Source organism: Homo sapiens, chromosome 16, assembly GCF_000001405.40.
Source record: "Homo sapiens chromosome 16, GRCh38.p14 Primary Assembly".
Lineage (NCBI taxonomy): Eukaryota > Metazoa > Chordata > Mammalia > Primates > Hominidae > Homo > Homo sapiens.
The window spans coordinates 1,333,535-1,347,093 of NC_000016.10; the positions used below are offsets into that span (position 1 = coordinate 1,333,535).

Below are 13,559 nucleotides of genomic sequence, written 5' to 3' on the forward strand. Positions count from 1 at the left end.
CCGTGGACGCGGGGGGCGGGGCGAGCGCGGTCAGGCCCCGCCCCGGTCAGGCCCGGCCCCGCCCCCAGTCAGACCCCGCCCCCGCAGCGGCGTCCGCCCAGCAGTTGCTCAGTCGTCGGCGCGCGCGGCTGGGAGCGGTAGCTGTGCCTCGGCGTCCCCGAGCTGGTGCCGAGCGCAGCGCCCCAGGAGCCCCCCCATCCCCGCGCCGGCCCACGGTAAGTGCCGCGGGCTGCGGCCAGTGCTGTTGGGCCGCCGTCTGGGCTCGGCCCCGCGCCCCAACCCGGACGGACCGACGGCCGCCGCCCCCTTGGTCCGGGTCCCCCAGGAGGCACGGGGGTGGCCTCCGAGGCGGGGGGCGGTGGGAAGGTCTCGACGTCCCCTCGGCCCTGGGGAAACTGAGGCCGCGCATGCTTGGAGGGGCGGGGTCTCGGGGGCATTTCCCCTCCGAACGCGCAGGAGAGGGTGCGGCGGTGGGGTCCGCACTGCGGAGCGGACGGGGAGGGTATCCGGGCGCTGGCGACGGCCTCCCCCGCACTTGAGCCGCCAAGCGAGGCTTCGACCCCCGCGCCTCCCTCCCCGGGGGAGCAGACGGGCCCGGGGCCTCCCAGCACCCCTCCCGGGCGGGCTGCACCCCCCAGCGTCCTCGTCCCTTCCCTCCTCCCGCAGGTCCTCGTAAGGCCCTTTAGTCCCCCCGAAATCCCTGCGAGTGCAAAGCGGCCCCTCCTTCAGCCCCACTCGGCAAAGGGCTGTGGGCTCTTGCCTGGGCCGGGGTCTCCGGGGGAGGAGTTTAAAGTGACACACTAGACCCGCCCCCAGACTCACCCCGGACCGCCCGCCCCCTCCGAGGGGAGAGACCCCCATAGAACTGGGGGTGTGGCTCCTGCGGGCGCCCGGGGCCCCGGGAAAGGGGGTGCCGCGAGGCGGGGCAGGGAGGGGGTCGGTGAGCAGAGGGAGGAGGGAGCGCTGCGCAGACACGGGCGAGGGGAGGAAGAAGGCGCCTCGGGCTCCGGTCTCCTGCGCTCCTGCTGGGCGCCAGCGGCTGGACCTTGGCAGCCGTCTGAGGCTTCGGGGAGCCCAAGGCCACCGGCAGCGCTTGTTAGAATGCAGATTCCCGGGGTTCGACTGGAATGAGACCCCGGGGAGCAGCGTTTGCAGCGGGCCCGCCAGGTGACCTGCACCTGGGCACCGCCATCGGCTTCGCAGGGGCCATCTGGAGGAGTCGGTGAGACCAGGGAGAGATTCCTGCGGGAAACCCCCAGGGCCTGGTGAAGGGGAGTCGGGGGGCTGAGGGAGGAAGAGCAGGGAAGCTGGAGAGAAGACCAAGAGGGCAGCGTGGAGAGCCAGCCTGTGGGGCAGATGTCCTGCCACCTCCCGCCCCAGGCACACACCCAGGGCACCATCAGCTAACCCCCTGCCCCAAATGTGGTAAGAAGGGCGCCCCCAACACGTTGAAGGCGTTTGTTCCTAGACAGCCTGCACTGGGGAGGAAGGCTGACCCAGCCTCTGCTCCGCTGCCCCCAGACTCAGCTGCCTCACTGCCCCCAACCCTGAGCCCCCAAATGGCCTGGCAGGAGACAGCTTGGCTTAAGAGTCCCAGGTTCACATCTGGGCTCTGGGCAAGTCGCCCCCACCCTGGGCTGTGAAATGAGATGTGCCATCCTCCTTGCAAAATGTCATTCCCCATTCAGCCCAGGCCTGGGGGACAGCCAGGGAGCAAGGTGGGATGGGCAGGTGTGGCTCAGCCCCAGTGCCACAAGGCAGGAGCTCCTTGGCGGTCCTCCCTCTGCTCACTGGACAGATGGGAGTGTGGTTCTGGTCCTGGCATCAGGCATGAGCAGAGTATGGGGGGGTTCATCCTGCCTCATGCTACTGTCCCAGGGTGAGAGACTGGGAAGGAGTTACATCACGTCTGGGCCCACGGGAAAGACGGGGGGTCCCCTGCACCTGGCTCACTCCTGCCCCGTAAGTGCTGAGAGCCACCCAGGCAGCCAGTGCTTCCTGTACTGGTCACAGACAGATGCATATGCCCACCATTCACAGCAGCTCCGGCCTCTGTGGCAGGTGGCTCCCAGGGCCCACGCAGTTGGCTGCAGCCAGGCTATCAGCTGCCCAGGAAGCCTGGGGTTTCCAGGGGAACCAAAGGGGTTTCTGCGCACCCAGGATGAGCCAAGTCTTCTGTACACCTGTGCCAAGACGCCATTATTGCACCCATCCTAGCAACGGGCAGTGGGAGGGGCAGGAGCTGCAGTTGGGGTCAGGGGGGCTGGCCTAGCTGGTTGCCCCAGGAGCTTAGCACTGGGGACACCAAAGAGACCTTGACTGCCGTCCCCAGCCCACTTGCTGGCTCTGGGACCTTGGGCGGGCTCCCAGCCCTGCGCCTCCGTTTGCCCATCTGAGATGCAGGGAGCAAAGGGCACCCCTCTCGGGCCGCTCTGGGGATGAGGAGGTGAATGTGGAGAGGAAAATGCAGGGAGGGTACCGAGCCCCCTTTTTCTGCCTGGAACATCTTGTTATCACAAAGACACCCCCTCCCCAACCCCGCAGTTCAGGCCACTTGGCTCCTGCGTCACATTTGTCTCCAGGACTGCGAGCCCCCATCGCCCCTGTCACACGCACATGCCGCGGCGGTTGCCCTGGCAACAGCTCCAGCAGCGGCTGCTCCACTGGCTTCGGGGGACAGCAGGGGGAGCAGCCTCTTCCACCCAGCAAGGGAGGGGAAGGGGGCTTGTGACTCCCAGGCCCCTGAGGATTTCACGACTGGCTGTGGGGGTGACAGCTTCCAGAAGCACTGTACCCAGCCTACCAAGCCCCCCCATCTTTTGGGGGGGAGGCTCACAGGGGAAGGCACTGATAGGTTTGAAGGAGGTGAGTCCCCCCCGCAAGCATTGCCTCTCACAGGGTGGGAGACGCAAACCCTCCTTCCTGTCCTCAGCTCTAGGGTCTGGTCCCGTAAGAGCCTGCACCCAGGGCTCGGGGGCTGGCAGGGACCCTGGAATCAAGACGAGATATCCGGGAATGGTGTCTGAGCTGGTGTGGGTATAGCTTGGGGCTGGTGACCCTGAACCCCCACAGACACAGCAGGGGCCCGGGAGCTGGCTCGACAAAGTCCGTTTGGAACCCACCACTGGCATGGTGTGCTCAGGCCCCCACGCTGCCCACTGAGCTTATGAGTCTAGTGCCACTGTGGGGAGCTGGCCTGGCATGCAGGGCCAACTGTCCGTGAGAGCCTGAGTGGGCGGTAGAACCTGCTGGTCTTCGTTTCCTCTCCTGTCCCGTGAGAATGACTATGCCCTTTGCGAGGGCCAGTGTGCCCAGCCCGGAGGCACCCTCCGCAGGTGGATGAGGGAGCACTGGCAAGGGAAGGGACCCAGACAGCAAGGCCAGGACCCCGGGGGGCTGGGGGAGCGCGGTGTCCTAGAAATCAGAGGCCGGCAAGGCTGGGACAGGAACCCAAGAGTGGGTACCTCTCTTGTGGTGGGGCAGAGGTGGCCTGGCTCTGGGACAGTTTCCATGGAGCGGGGAGGAGACCTCCCTGGGGCTGCTGGGGGGCAGAGGCAGTGCAGAGGTGGAGGGTCTGCACCTGCACCCATGCAGAGGAAGAGGGTCTCAGGAGGCTACGGTGTCTTAGCCATCATCCTACCCCTGTTGAAGGGGGTGTGCAGGGCAGGACCACCCGGCCTTCCTCCCTGACACAGGTGGGCTGGGCGGTGCTGGCTCATGCCTGTAATCCCAGCACTTTGGGAGGCCGAGGCTGGTGGATCACCTGAGGTCAGGAGTTCAAGACCAGCCTGGCCAACATAGCGAAACCCCGTCTCCACTGAAAGTACAAAAAAATCAGCTGGGCTTGGTGGCGGGCGCCTGTAATCCCAGTTACTTGGGAGGCTGAGGCAGGAGAATCGCTTGAACCTGGAAGGCGGAGGTTGCGGTGAGCGGAGACTGCGCCACTGCAACTCACTTGAACCTGGAGGTGGAGGCTGCAGTGAGCTGAGATCATGCCACTGCTCTCCAGCCTGGACTCCATCTCAACAAAACAAAACAAAAAGTGGGTGGGGCCTTCCAGGGGGCTTCCGGGTCTGCCTGGGCCCAGGCTCCGGGCCTTGGCAGAGGGCAGCTCTGTCCCAGCGGTGACATCTGGGCTGCTGCTGCTGCTGCTGCTCCAAGCAGGAGGCTGACAGGTTGGCTCAGTTGTCATGGCAACATGAGGGGAACTGACGCTGGATGGACTGGGAGGGAACTGTAGCCCCTACACCCGGCATTTTCCAGCGGGGCCCGGCTCGCTTCATGTTCTCGTTTGTACCAACTATGGGGAGCAGGCCCTGCTTTGTGGGGACACTGCCCCCCACCTTCTACTGTCCACCTCAGGTTTGCTGACCAGCTCCTGGGGTGAGGAGGGGGCATTGACCCCCGCTGTGCTTGGTGAGCGAGGACCCCCAGGCAGTCCCCTCCAGGGCCTCCTGGCCACATGGGCATCCTCCACCCAGGATGTCAGGGTTCTGGCGAGTTTTTACCTCCTACATAGGAGAGCTGGGTACCTGGCATCCGTCCTGGCCCCAGAGTCGGCACGGGGGCTGGGGGAGCTGAGTGCTGTGGCCCAGATCTTGGTCCTCTTGATGCAGCCCCAGGAAACAGGCGCCTCCTGCTGTGCTGTCGCGGGGAGGGGTGTGGGGGGCGAGTGTGGCAACCGCCTCCCTCGCCAGTGAGACCCCATAAGTCCCTGATGGACCCCCAGCTCTGGGTGGGCACCAGCCCCGCCTTTGACAGCATTTGCTACCTCCTCCCTGAAGCCGCCCTGCAGGGGGCGCAGGGACTTAGCCGGTCACCCAGCAGGTGTGGGGACAGGAGCCCTCACCGCCTGACCAGGTGCCCAGCGCCATCCAGGCTGTGGGTGAGCTCCCAGGCCTCTGCCCCACCTCTTCCCGCCCCACCCCCCCACCCCCCCGCCTGCTGTGGTGCACGGAGGGTTGAGTGGACGACCTGAGGCTGCGGGCTGTGCTCTCTGCTGTAGGTCACCCGCCATGTCGACCTTGCTGGACATTAAGAGCAGCGTGCTCAGGCAGGTGCAGGTGTGCCCGTCCTTCCGCCGCAGGACTGAGCAGGACCCAGGGAGTGCCAGCGCCGACCCGCAGGAGCCTGCCACGGGGGCCTGGTGGGTGCCGAGGGGCCCAGCCCCACACGCCCACAGGGCCATTTCCCGCCAGACTTCACACATGGCCGCCCCTGCCCCAGCACCCCTGGGCGGGAAGGAGGGTCTGCAGTTAGCTGTGCCACACTGTGGATGTCACATGGCCCTTCCTGCCCCTGGAGTCGAGGGTCCCAGGCAGGGGCCAGCGTGCTGAGAGCTGTGAGCTGACCCGGCTCTTTCTCCAGGAAACCCGGGGATGGCGTGGAGTTCTTTGCCCACATGCGCCTCATGCTGAAGAAGGGGGAAGGCAGACAGGGCTTGCCGTGCCTCGAGGTAAGGGTGCCACCCCCAGGGCCCGATACCACAGCCCAGCATGGGGCTCCCCCTTTGCTCCTCCCCGCTCCCTCCTGCCCTCGCTCCCACCTCCTGGGGCACCACCTGTCTTCCCTGCTGCAGGCCTGGGGCTCTCCCTGCCGTCAGAGCCCTCACCCTGGGCCCCACACACAGGTCCCCCTGCGCAGTGGCTCGCCAGCACCCCCGGAGCCTGTGGATCCCAGCCTCGGCCTGAGAGCCCTGGCCCCAGAGGAGGTAAAGGTGGGGGTCGGAACCAGGGGCAGTCGTCTGCAGCGGCTGCTCCCTCAGCCGTTTAGAGGCACCTACTGTGTGCACAGGGTCTGGTGATGGCAGAGAGCCAGGGTGAGTGGGTGGGTGAGTGAGGAGCGGAGGGGCTCCTGGTGCAAAGAGGCAGAGGTGGGGCCTGGGCTCAGGCAGACAGGAGGTGCTGCTGAGGGCTGGGGGCCTGGGACGCGGCACTGTGGCCGCCCTTCCCCCACCTGCAGGTGGAGATGCTCTACGAGGAGGCCCTGTACACGGTGCTTTACCGCGCGGGTACCATGGGCCCTGACCAGGTGGACGACGAGGAGGCCCTGCTCAGCTATCTCCAGCAGGTCAGCCCACCCTGACCCCGACCCAGACCCTGACAGCTTCCCCACCTCAACCCCTTCCCCACCCACTGACACCATCATCACCCAAACAGTATGCAGAATCTCCCCGATCCGTGCACAGCACACAGAGACGGCTGCAGGTGCACACACACACACGCACACAGGCTGCAGGTGCACACAGACACACGCACACAGGCTGCAGGTGCACACAGACACACACACAGGCTGCAGGTGCACACAGACACACGCACACAGGCTGCAGGTGCACACAGACACACGCACACAGGCTGCAGGTGCACACAGACACGCACACAGGCTGCAGGTGCACACAGACACGCACACAGGCTGCAGGTGCACACAGACGCACGCACACACACAGGCTGCAGGTGCATACAGATGCACACGCACACAGGCTGCAGGTGCACACAGACACACGCACACAGGCTGTAGGTGCACACAGACACGCACACACACAGGCTGCAGGTGCACACAGACACAGGCACACAGGCTGCAGGTGCACACAGATGCACAGGCACACAGGCTGCAGGTGCACACAGACACACGCACACAGGCTGCAGGTGCACACAGACACACGCACACAGGCTGCAGGTGCACACAGACACACACACAGGTTGCAGGTGCACACAGACGCATACGCACACAGGCTGCAGGTGCACACAGACACACACACAGGCTGCAGGTGCGCACAGATGCCCAGGCACACAGGCTGCAGGTGCACACAGACACACGCACACAGGCTGCAGGTGCACACAGACACGCACACAGGTTGCAGGTGCACACAGATGCACGCACATAGGCTGCAGGTGTACACAGACATGCACACAGGTTGCAGGTGCACACAGATGCACACGCACACAGGCTGCAGGTGTACACAGACACACGCACACAGGCTGCAGGTGCACACAGACACGCACACACACACACAGGCTGCAGGTGCACACAGACACACACAGGCTGCATGTCTACACAGACACACACACATACATGCACATAGGCTGACAGACGCACCTCGAAGGACGCTCCCGGCTTCCACCTGCATGTGCTCTGAACTCCCCTGTCCTCCCGTGGCCCCCATTCCCACGCATGCACTTGCGTGGCCCTCATCACACCCACCATCTCTGGGCATGCCCAGGCCCCTTGGCACAAACCCTCTGCCGCTGCCTCCCAGGCTTCCCCCAACCCTGCACCCGTGAGGACTGAGGTTGGGTGTCTGTGACGGGCTGAGCCCGAGGTCCCAGCACAGTGGCCAGCCTCGCTTCAGGGGTTGCCTAGGCCCTGCCAACCCAGCCACCCTCCACAGGTGTTTGGCACCAGCCTTGAGGAGCACACTGAGGCCATCGAGCGAGTGAGGAAGGCCAAGGTGAGGCCGCCACTGCCTGGGCAGGCACTGACCAGCACGTGCCTGCGTGGCGGGGGCACGGGGCAAGGCCCTGTCACCTCCATGCTAAGTAGGGCATCTGGGGGGCAGCTCAGCCTCACCAGGCCCCCCACGCCCCTCTGTCCACAGGCCCCCACGTATGCCCTGAAAGTCTCTGTCATGCGTGCCAAGAACCTTCTGGCCAAGGACCCCAACGGTGAGTGGGGACCCAGCAGACCTCGGCTGCGCCGAGGCCTGGCGGCCATGGAGGGCCAGAGGGCGTGGGGCCAGGGCTGAGACGCCTGCCGTGCCCAGGCTTCAGCGACCCATACTGCATGCTGGGCATCCTGCCTGCCTCGGACGCCACGCGGGAGCCCCGTGCACAGAAGGAGCAGCGCTTCGGCTTCCGCAAGGGCAGCAAGCGCGGTGGACCCCTGCCTGCCAAGTGCATCCAGGTCACCGAGGTGAAGAGCAGCACCCTGAACCCCGTCTGGAAGGAGCACTTCCTCTTGTGAGGCCCTCGCCCGTCTGGGTGCGGGAGGGGGGCTCTGCCTGGGGTCCAGAGCTGGGCTGTGCCTGGAGGGTGGTGGCTCGCAGCAGCTCCCGGTCTCTTTGGGGCCGTGTGCCCACTTTCCAGAGGAGAAAACTGAGGCCCAGAGATGGGCGTTGTGCCACCGGGGCCACACGGCTGGCAACACCTGGCGGGATCAGGATTTGGACCTGAACAGCCTGTCTGGAGAGCGGGTGCTTGTGGCCTGGTCCCTGCTGCTTCTGGACTCCCTGACCCCGGCCTGGGCAGAGCCTCGCCGGGGACCCTCATGGGCATCTCTGTTCTCCTTGTAGCGAGATTGAGGATGTGAGCACGGACCAGCTGCACCTGGACATCTGGTACAGGCCCCTGCGCCATGCAGGGCGGCGGGGATGCACACCTTTTGCGGGGGAGCAGGACGGACTCAGGGCCCGGCTGCGGGCTCCAGACAAGCCAGGTCCTCCCCTGTCCCCACCAGGGATCATGACGACGATGTATCCCTGGTAGAAGCGTGCAGGAAGCTGAATGAAGTCATCGGCCTGAAGGGCATGGGCAGGTATGACTGCTGGGACCTTTCTACCCATCACCCGTGCCCTCAGCTTGGTCATGGGGCCCGGCGGGCAGTGGCTCCCCAGGAGCCATCAGCGTGATGCTCACCACCTGTGGTGGCCAGGTACTTCAAACAGATCGTCAAGTCAGCCCGCGCAAACGGGACAGCAGGACCCACCGAGGACCACACCGATGACTTCCTGGGGTGCCTCAACATACCTGTCCGGGTGAGTGGGTGTGGGGTGGGGCTGGTGACACTTAGAGAAGGGCCTGGGGAGTGTCCCAGCCTTCAAGGGGCAGGGCACTGCCTGGAGAAGCTCCTGCTTTTGGGCCTCCACTGAGTGCGCTTGTCACCCTCATTCCCCGGAGAAGGGAAGCCCAGGCCATGTGGTCTCTCCAGGGTCTCACAGAGTCAGTGTGGAAGGGGAGGGGGAGGAGTCTGGTGGGCCTGACCCCCATGCTACCCCCAGGAGGTGCCTGTGGCTGGCGTCGACCGCTGGTTCAAGCTGGAGCCACGCTCCAGTGCCTCGCGTGTGCAGGGACACTGCCACCTGGTTCTCAAGCTGATCACTACGCAGGTGGGGAAAGTGGGCGTCCCCGTCCTCCACCCCCGTCCTTGGGGCGGGGGCAGAGCTGGTGACTGGGTGGGCTCTGCGTTGCAGAGGGATACGGCCATGAGCCAGCGCGGGCGATCCGGCTTCCTGTCCCACCTGCTGCTGCTCAGCCATCTGCTGCGGTTGGAGCACTCAGCAGAGGAGGTAGTGGGTGCGCCTAGGATTGGAACAGCCCGGCAGGGGGCCTGAGGAGGGGATGTGGGGCTGTCCCGCCTCCACCCACGACAGACCTCCTCCCCCAGCCCAACTCCAGCAGCTGGCGAGGAGAGCTCAGCACACCAGCCGCCACCATCCTCTGCCTGCACGGAGCCCAGAGCAACCTGTCACCCTTGCAGCTGGCCGTGCTGTGAGTGGGTGGAGCTACGAGTGGGCGGGGAATGTGGGCGGGCGTGAGCGAGTGGGGCATCGGGGGCCATGCGGTGAGTGGATGTCGTGGCTGGGAGGGTGGGGCAGGGAAAGGGGCGGTGCTGAGTAGGTGGGGCTGCGCTGATTGGGCGGGAAGGGAAGGGGGCGGTGCTACGGGTAGGTGAGGCAGCGAAAGGGGCGGTGCCATGAGTAGGTACGGCAGCGCTAATTGGAGGGCAGGGAAAGGGGCAGTGCTATGAGTAGGCGCGGCAGTGCTGATTGGGTGGGGCAGAGAAAGGGGTAGTGCTGTAGGCGGTGCTGAGTGGGCATGGCAGGGGCGGGGTTCATACCCTTTGACCATGGGCCGGGCCCCACAGGCACTGGCAGGTCAGCAGCCGCCACCATCAAACCTGCACGCTGGACTACAGCTACCTGCTGGGGCTGCTGGAGGACATGCAGGCACACTGGGAAGAGGCTCCTTCACTGCCCCAGGAGCAGGTGGGTGCAGCCGGGACCTTCTTGCCAGCCATGGCGAAGGGAGTGCTGGGGACTGGGGTCGCTCAGTGCCGGTCGGCGAGGGGCAGAGTCCTGCCCGCGTGGGGGTCAAAGACAAATGGACAAACTGTATGACGTGGGCGAGAGCCAGCGCTCTGCAGAAAGGAGACGGGAGACTCGTGGGAGTCACCTCGGGGGGCGGCCAGGACTTAGGACAGGGCTGGGGAAAGCCGCCAAGGTGGCGCCCATCTGAGCGACAGGAGGGAGCGGCCCTGGCAGGACGGACGTGGGAACTGCAGGGGCACAGGCCCTACGTGAGCTGCGTGGGTGGAAACCGAGGCTGGGACAGGCCGTCTGGGACAGGCCGACTGGGCCTGTGGAGGGTGCTGCTCAGAGCAGAGCTGGGCTGACCATGCCCGGGGAAGGGTGTTGCGGGCCAAGGCAGGGAGGATGTTTCTCCTCATCAGTGGCCGGTCGGGGCTGCTGGCACTGAAGGGCCCTGTCCCCACAGGAGGAGAGCCTGGCTGATAGCCTTTCCGCCTTCTCTGAGTTCGGGCTGCAGCTGCTGCGCCAGCTCCGAGACTACTTCCCTGCCACCAACAGCACCGCTGTCCACCGCCTGGAGCTGCTGCTGAAGTGGGTGCAGCGCCGCGTGTCAGCGTGGGTGGGGGCGGCTGGCAGGGCAGGCCCCACGTCAGCGTGCTGCCCCCACCCAGGTGTCTGGGCAAGCTGCAGCTCTTCCAACCCTCCTTTGAGATCTGCCCCTTCGAGTCGGAGCTGAACATGGACATTGCTGCGGCCCTGAAGGTGTGTTCCAAAGCCCAGTGGAGGCCGGCTGCTAAGCCCTCCCTTCCCCTTCCCTGCCTTCCCGTCCCCTGCACCTCTGCACCACGGTCTCTTGCCCACCTCTTCCTCTTCCCTGCAATCCACCATGCTGTCTTGGTGGTGTCTGTTGCAGAGAGGCAACCGTGAGTGGTACGACAGGATCCTGAATGACAAGAGTCCCCGAGAGCAGGTGCAGTTGTGGGGGACCCTGGCCATGAGGGGTACGGGCAGCCGAGAGGTGGGTACGAGCTAGGCTTCCTTGCAGCCAGGACCACAGCGCCTGCCTGGGCTGGTTGTGCTGGCTGACGCCGTCTATGATGACCTTCAGTTCTGCTACAGTGTGTACGCCAGCCTCTTCCACAGGTGGGCCTGGCCCCTCAGTGCTGTCCTGGGGCTGGGGTCGGAGCCAACAGGGCCTGCAGGTGGGGCGCAGGTGGATGAGGTGTGTCCCTTGCTCTGCAGCATCCTCAATGTGGACGTCTTCACCCTGACCTTCCGGCAGCTGGAGCGTCTGGTGAGGAGGGTCCCTGACCCCGGGTGCCTGCCAGGCATGGGGAAGTGGGCAGATGCCCTTGGCTAGGACGGTCCTGGGATTCCTTGCTGCTGGAGGCCTGATCCTGCTGTCCCGGACAGGTGGCTGAGGAGGCGTGGGTGCTGACGGAGGAGCTGAGCCCCAAGATGACCCTGGAGGTGGCCTCGGGGCTCTTTGAGCTCTACCTGACCCTGGCTGACCTCCAGCGCTTCTGGGATAGCATCCCTGGCCGGTGGGTGCCCCGTCCCTATCTCTTGCAGACAGACTTTGGGACCAGGGCCCCAGGACCTGTGAGGGGGACGGTCCTGGAGCTGTGAGCCTGGAACGTGCTGGTTAAGGTGTCTGAGTCAGGGCCGAGCCCTCACAACCCTCCCACCACAGGGACAGCCGCTCTCTGGCCCTGGCTGGCATCCACGCCCCCTTCCTGCCTGCTGTGAAGCTCTGGTTCCAAGTGCTGAGGGACCAGGCCAAGTGGAGGCTTCAGGGAGCCGTGGACATGGACACGGTGACAGCTGCCCTGGCCTGAGGACACTGGGGCTGGTCCAGGCCCCCAGCCTCCCCCGCCTCCCCAGCAACCCCAGCCTCCCCAGCAACCCCCAGCCTCCTCCGCCTCCCCAGCCTCCCCCTCAACCCCAGCCTCCCCGGCCTCCTCCGCAACCCCAGCCTCCCCAGCAACCCCAGCCTCCCCAGCAACCCCAGCCTCCTCAGCAACCCCAGCCTCCCCCGCAACCCCAGCCTCCTCAGCAACCCCAGCCTCCCCCACAACCCCAGCCTCCCCGGCCTCCTCCGCAACCCCAGCCTCCCCCACAACCCCCGCCTCCCCCACCTCCCCAGCCTCCCCTGCCTCCCCAGCAAACCCAGCCTCCCCTGCCTCCCTAGCTGGAGCCCGTGGACGCCTCCTCCAGGCACAGCAGCTCCGCAGCCACTGCTGGTCTCTGCCTCAGCCACATCCAGGAGTTGTGGGTGCGCCTGGCGTGGCCTGACCCTGCCCAGGCTCAGGGGCTGGGCACCCAGCTTGGCCAGGTGTGTGGGTGGGCCCTGGGGGTGAGGGGAACGGGTGGGAGAGGAGATGGGGCAGGGGAGGGCTCCATGGCTCCCCACCGCCATCCCCTCCTCAGGACGTGTGTGAGGCCACCCTCTTCTATACGGAGCTGCTTCGGAAGAAGGTGGACACTCAGCCAGGGGCGGCCGGTGAAGCAGTGAGCGAGGCGGTGAGTGACCAGCTGGGGAGGGGAGCCGGCAGGAGGTGGGGGGCCATCACCAGGCCCCGGACCCATCGTTGCCTGGCCACACCTCCTCCAGCTCTGCGTGGTCCTCAACAATGTGGAGCTCGTGCGCAAGGCTGCTGGGCAGGCCTTGAAGGGCCTGGCATGGCCAGAGGGGGCCACGGGGCCCGAGGGGGTGCTCCCCCGCCCTCTGCTCAGCTGCACACAGGCCCTGGACGATGATCTGCAACGGGAGGCCCACACGGTGACAGCGCACCTGACCTCTAAGGTGGGTGGGGCCTGGAGACCAAGGCGTGGAGGCAGTCCCTGGTGCCCCCTGCCCGTGCTGAGCACTGCTCCTGCCCTCAGATGGTGGGCGACATCCGCAAGTATGTACAGCACATCAGTCTCTCGCCTGACTCCATCCAGAACGATGAGGTGAGTGCCGGGGCGAGGGGCCGTGGAGGACTGTGTGTACTGGGGGTAGGGCAGAGGTGCGGGGTAAGCCTGGCCTGACCACCCCTGCCCGCAGGCCGTGGCCCCGCTCATGAAGTACCTGGATGAGAAGCTGGCCCTGCTGAACGCCTCGCTGGTGAAGGGGAACCTGAGCAGGTGCGGGCGGGTGGGGTGGGATGGGCTGGGCTGGCCCGTGGTCACTGAGGCCGCCCTGCAGGGTGCCGGAGGCCCTGTGGGAGCTACTCCTCCAGGCCATTCTGCAGGTGGGGCCAGCGGGGCAGGTGGGGCTGGCCCGTGGTCACTGATGCTGCCCTGCAGGGTGCTGGAGGCCCTGTGGGAGCTACTCCTCCAGGCCATTCTGCAGGCGCTGGGTGCAAACCGTGACGTCTCTGCTGATTTCTACAGCCGCTTCCATTTCACGCTGGAGGTAGAGCTCTGTGAAGGAGTCCTCCCCGCCGGCCCCCGCCTCAGGGCTGCTCTGATCCCTCCCTTTGTCCCCACTGGCCTGCCTGGTCTCCTGTGGCTGGAGAGCAGCCACTCCAGGGCTGTCCACAGCGCCTCCTCC

The 13,559-nt window shown here is 66.0% G+C and overlaps 1 protein-coding gene across 9 annotated transcripts in view, besides 5 other annotated features; it reads left to right on the top strand.

Annotated features, from left to right (window-relative positions):
• Positions 1 to 160: a silencer, noted in NCBI's record as "silent region_6970". NCBI's record gives its function as "represses an Ori minimal core promoter by ATAC-STARR-seq in GM12878 lymphoblastoid cells {active_cell/tissue: GM12878}" and the evidence as "EXISTENCE:reporter gene assay evidence [ECO:0000049][PMID:35858748]".
• The window catches only part of BAIAP3 (BAI1 associated protein 3), a 15,795-nt gene continuing 2,346 nt past the window's right edge, over positions 111 to 13,559 (top strand). For 3 of the 9 annotated variants that reach the window (XM_011522728.2, XM_011522730.3, XM_011522729.2), the window contains exons 1-28: positions 970 to 1,222; positions 5,006 to 5,146; positions 5,368 to 5,455; positions 5,579 to 5,710; positions 5,962 to 6,069; positions 7,388 to 7,447; positions 7,595 to 7,661; positions 7,760 to 7,955; positions 8,288 to 8,332; positions 8,452 to 8,529; positions 8,647 to 8,749; positions 8,993 to 9,100; positions 9,185 to 9,280; positions 9,379 to 9,482; positions 9,859 to 9,979; positions 10,488 to 10,612; positions 10,693 to 10,783; positions 10,935 to 10,991; positions 11,067 to 11,164; positions 11,264 to 11,315; positions 11,435 to 11,565; positions 11,715 to 11,838; positions 12,213 to 12,356; positions 12,452 to 12,544; positions 12,636 to 12,827; positions 12,908 to 12,976; positions 13,071 to 13,150; positions 13,313 to 13,421. In XM_011522728.2, the coding sequence (XP_011521030.1) occupies positions 1,128 to 1,222; positions 5,006 to 5,146; positions 5,368 to 5,455; positions 5,579 to 5,710; positions 5,962 to 6,069; positions 7,388 to 7,447; positions 7,595 to 7,661; positions 7,760 to 7,955; positions 8,288 to 8,332; positions 8,452 to 8,529; positions 8,647 to 8,749; positions 8,993 to 9,100; positions 9,185 to 9,280; positions 9,379 to 9,482; positions 9,859 to 9,979; positions 10,488 to 10,612; positions 10,693 to 10,783; positions 10,935 to 10,991; positions 11,067 to 11,164; positions 11,264 to 11,315; positions 11,435 to 11,565; positions 11,715 to 11,838; positions 12,213 to 12,356; positions 12,452 to 12,544; positions 12,636 to 12,827; positions 12,908 to 12,976; positions 13,071 to 13,150; positions 13,313 to 13,421 (2,907 nt within the window). In that variant the 5' untranslated portion in view covers positions 970 to 1,127. Of the gene's footprint in view, positions 216 to 969; positions 1,223 to 2,662; positions 2,866 to 5,005; positions 5,147 to 5,367; positions 5,456 to 5,578; positions 5,711 to 5,961; positions 6,070 to 7,387; positions 7,448 to 7,594; positions 7,662 to 7,759; positions 7,956 to 8,287; positions 8,333 to 8,451; positions 8,530 to 8,646; positions 8,750 to 8,992; positions 9,101 to 9,184; positions 9,281 to 9,378; positions 9,483 to 9,858; positions 9,980 to 10,487; positions 10,613 to 10,692; positions 10,784 to 10,934; positions 10,992 to 11,066; positions 11,165 to 11,263; positions 11,316 to 11,434; positions 11,566 to 11,714; positions 11,839 to 12,212; positions 12,357 to 12,451; positions 12,545 to 12,635; positions 12,828 to 12,907; positions 12,977 to 13,070; positions 13,151 to 13,312; positions 13,422 to 13,559 lie in introns of those variants that run through there. The other 6 variants (NM_001286464.2, NM_001199097.2, NM_001199098.2 and 3 more) reach the window with 6 other exon arrangements.
• Positions 4,835 to 5,684: an enhancer, noted in NCBI's record as "H3K4me1 hESC enhancer chr16:1388370-1389219 (GRCh37/hg19 assembly coordinates)". NCBI's record gives its function as "activates a minimal SCP1, AML or CMV promoter by ChIP-STARR-seq in primed H9 embryonic stem cells {active_cell/tissue: H9 hESC(primed)}" and the evidence as "EXISTENCE:reporter gene assay evidence [ECO:0000049][PMID:30033119]".
• Positions 8,575 to 9,123: an enhancer, noted in NCBI's record as "H3K27ac-H3K4me1 hESC enhancer chr16:1392110-1392658 (GRCh37/hg19 assembly coordinates)". NCBI's record gives its function as "activates a minimal SCP1, AML or CMV promoter by ChIP-STARR-seq in primed H9 embryonic stem cells {active_cell/tissue: H9 hESC(primed)}" and the evidence as "EXISTENCE:reporter gene assay evidence [ECO:0000049][PMID:30033119]".
• Positions 9,380 to 9,839: a silencer, noted in NCBI's record as "silent region_6971". NCBI's record gives its function as "represses an Ori minimal core promoter by ATAC-STARR-seq in GM12878 lymphoblastoid cells {active_cell/tissue: GM12878}" and the evidence as "EXISTENCE:reporter gene assay evidence [ECO:0000049][PMID:35858748]".
• Positions 10,030 to 10,079: an enhancer, noted in NCBI's record as "active region_10222". NCBI's record gives its function as "activates an Ori minimal core promoter by ATAC-STARR-seq in GM12878 lymphoblastoid cells {active_cell/tissue: GM12878}" and the evidence as "EXISTENCE:reporter gene assay evidence [ECO:0000049][PMID:35858748]".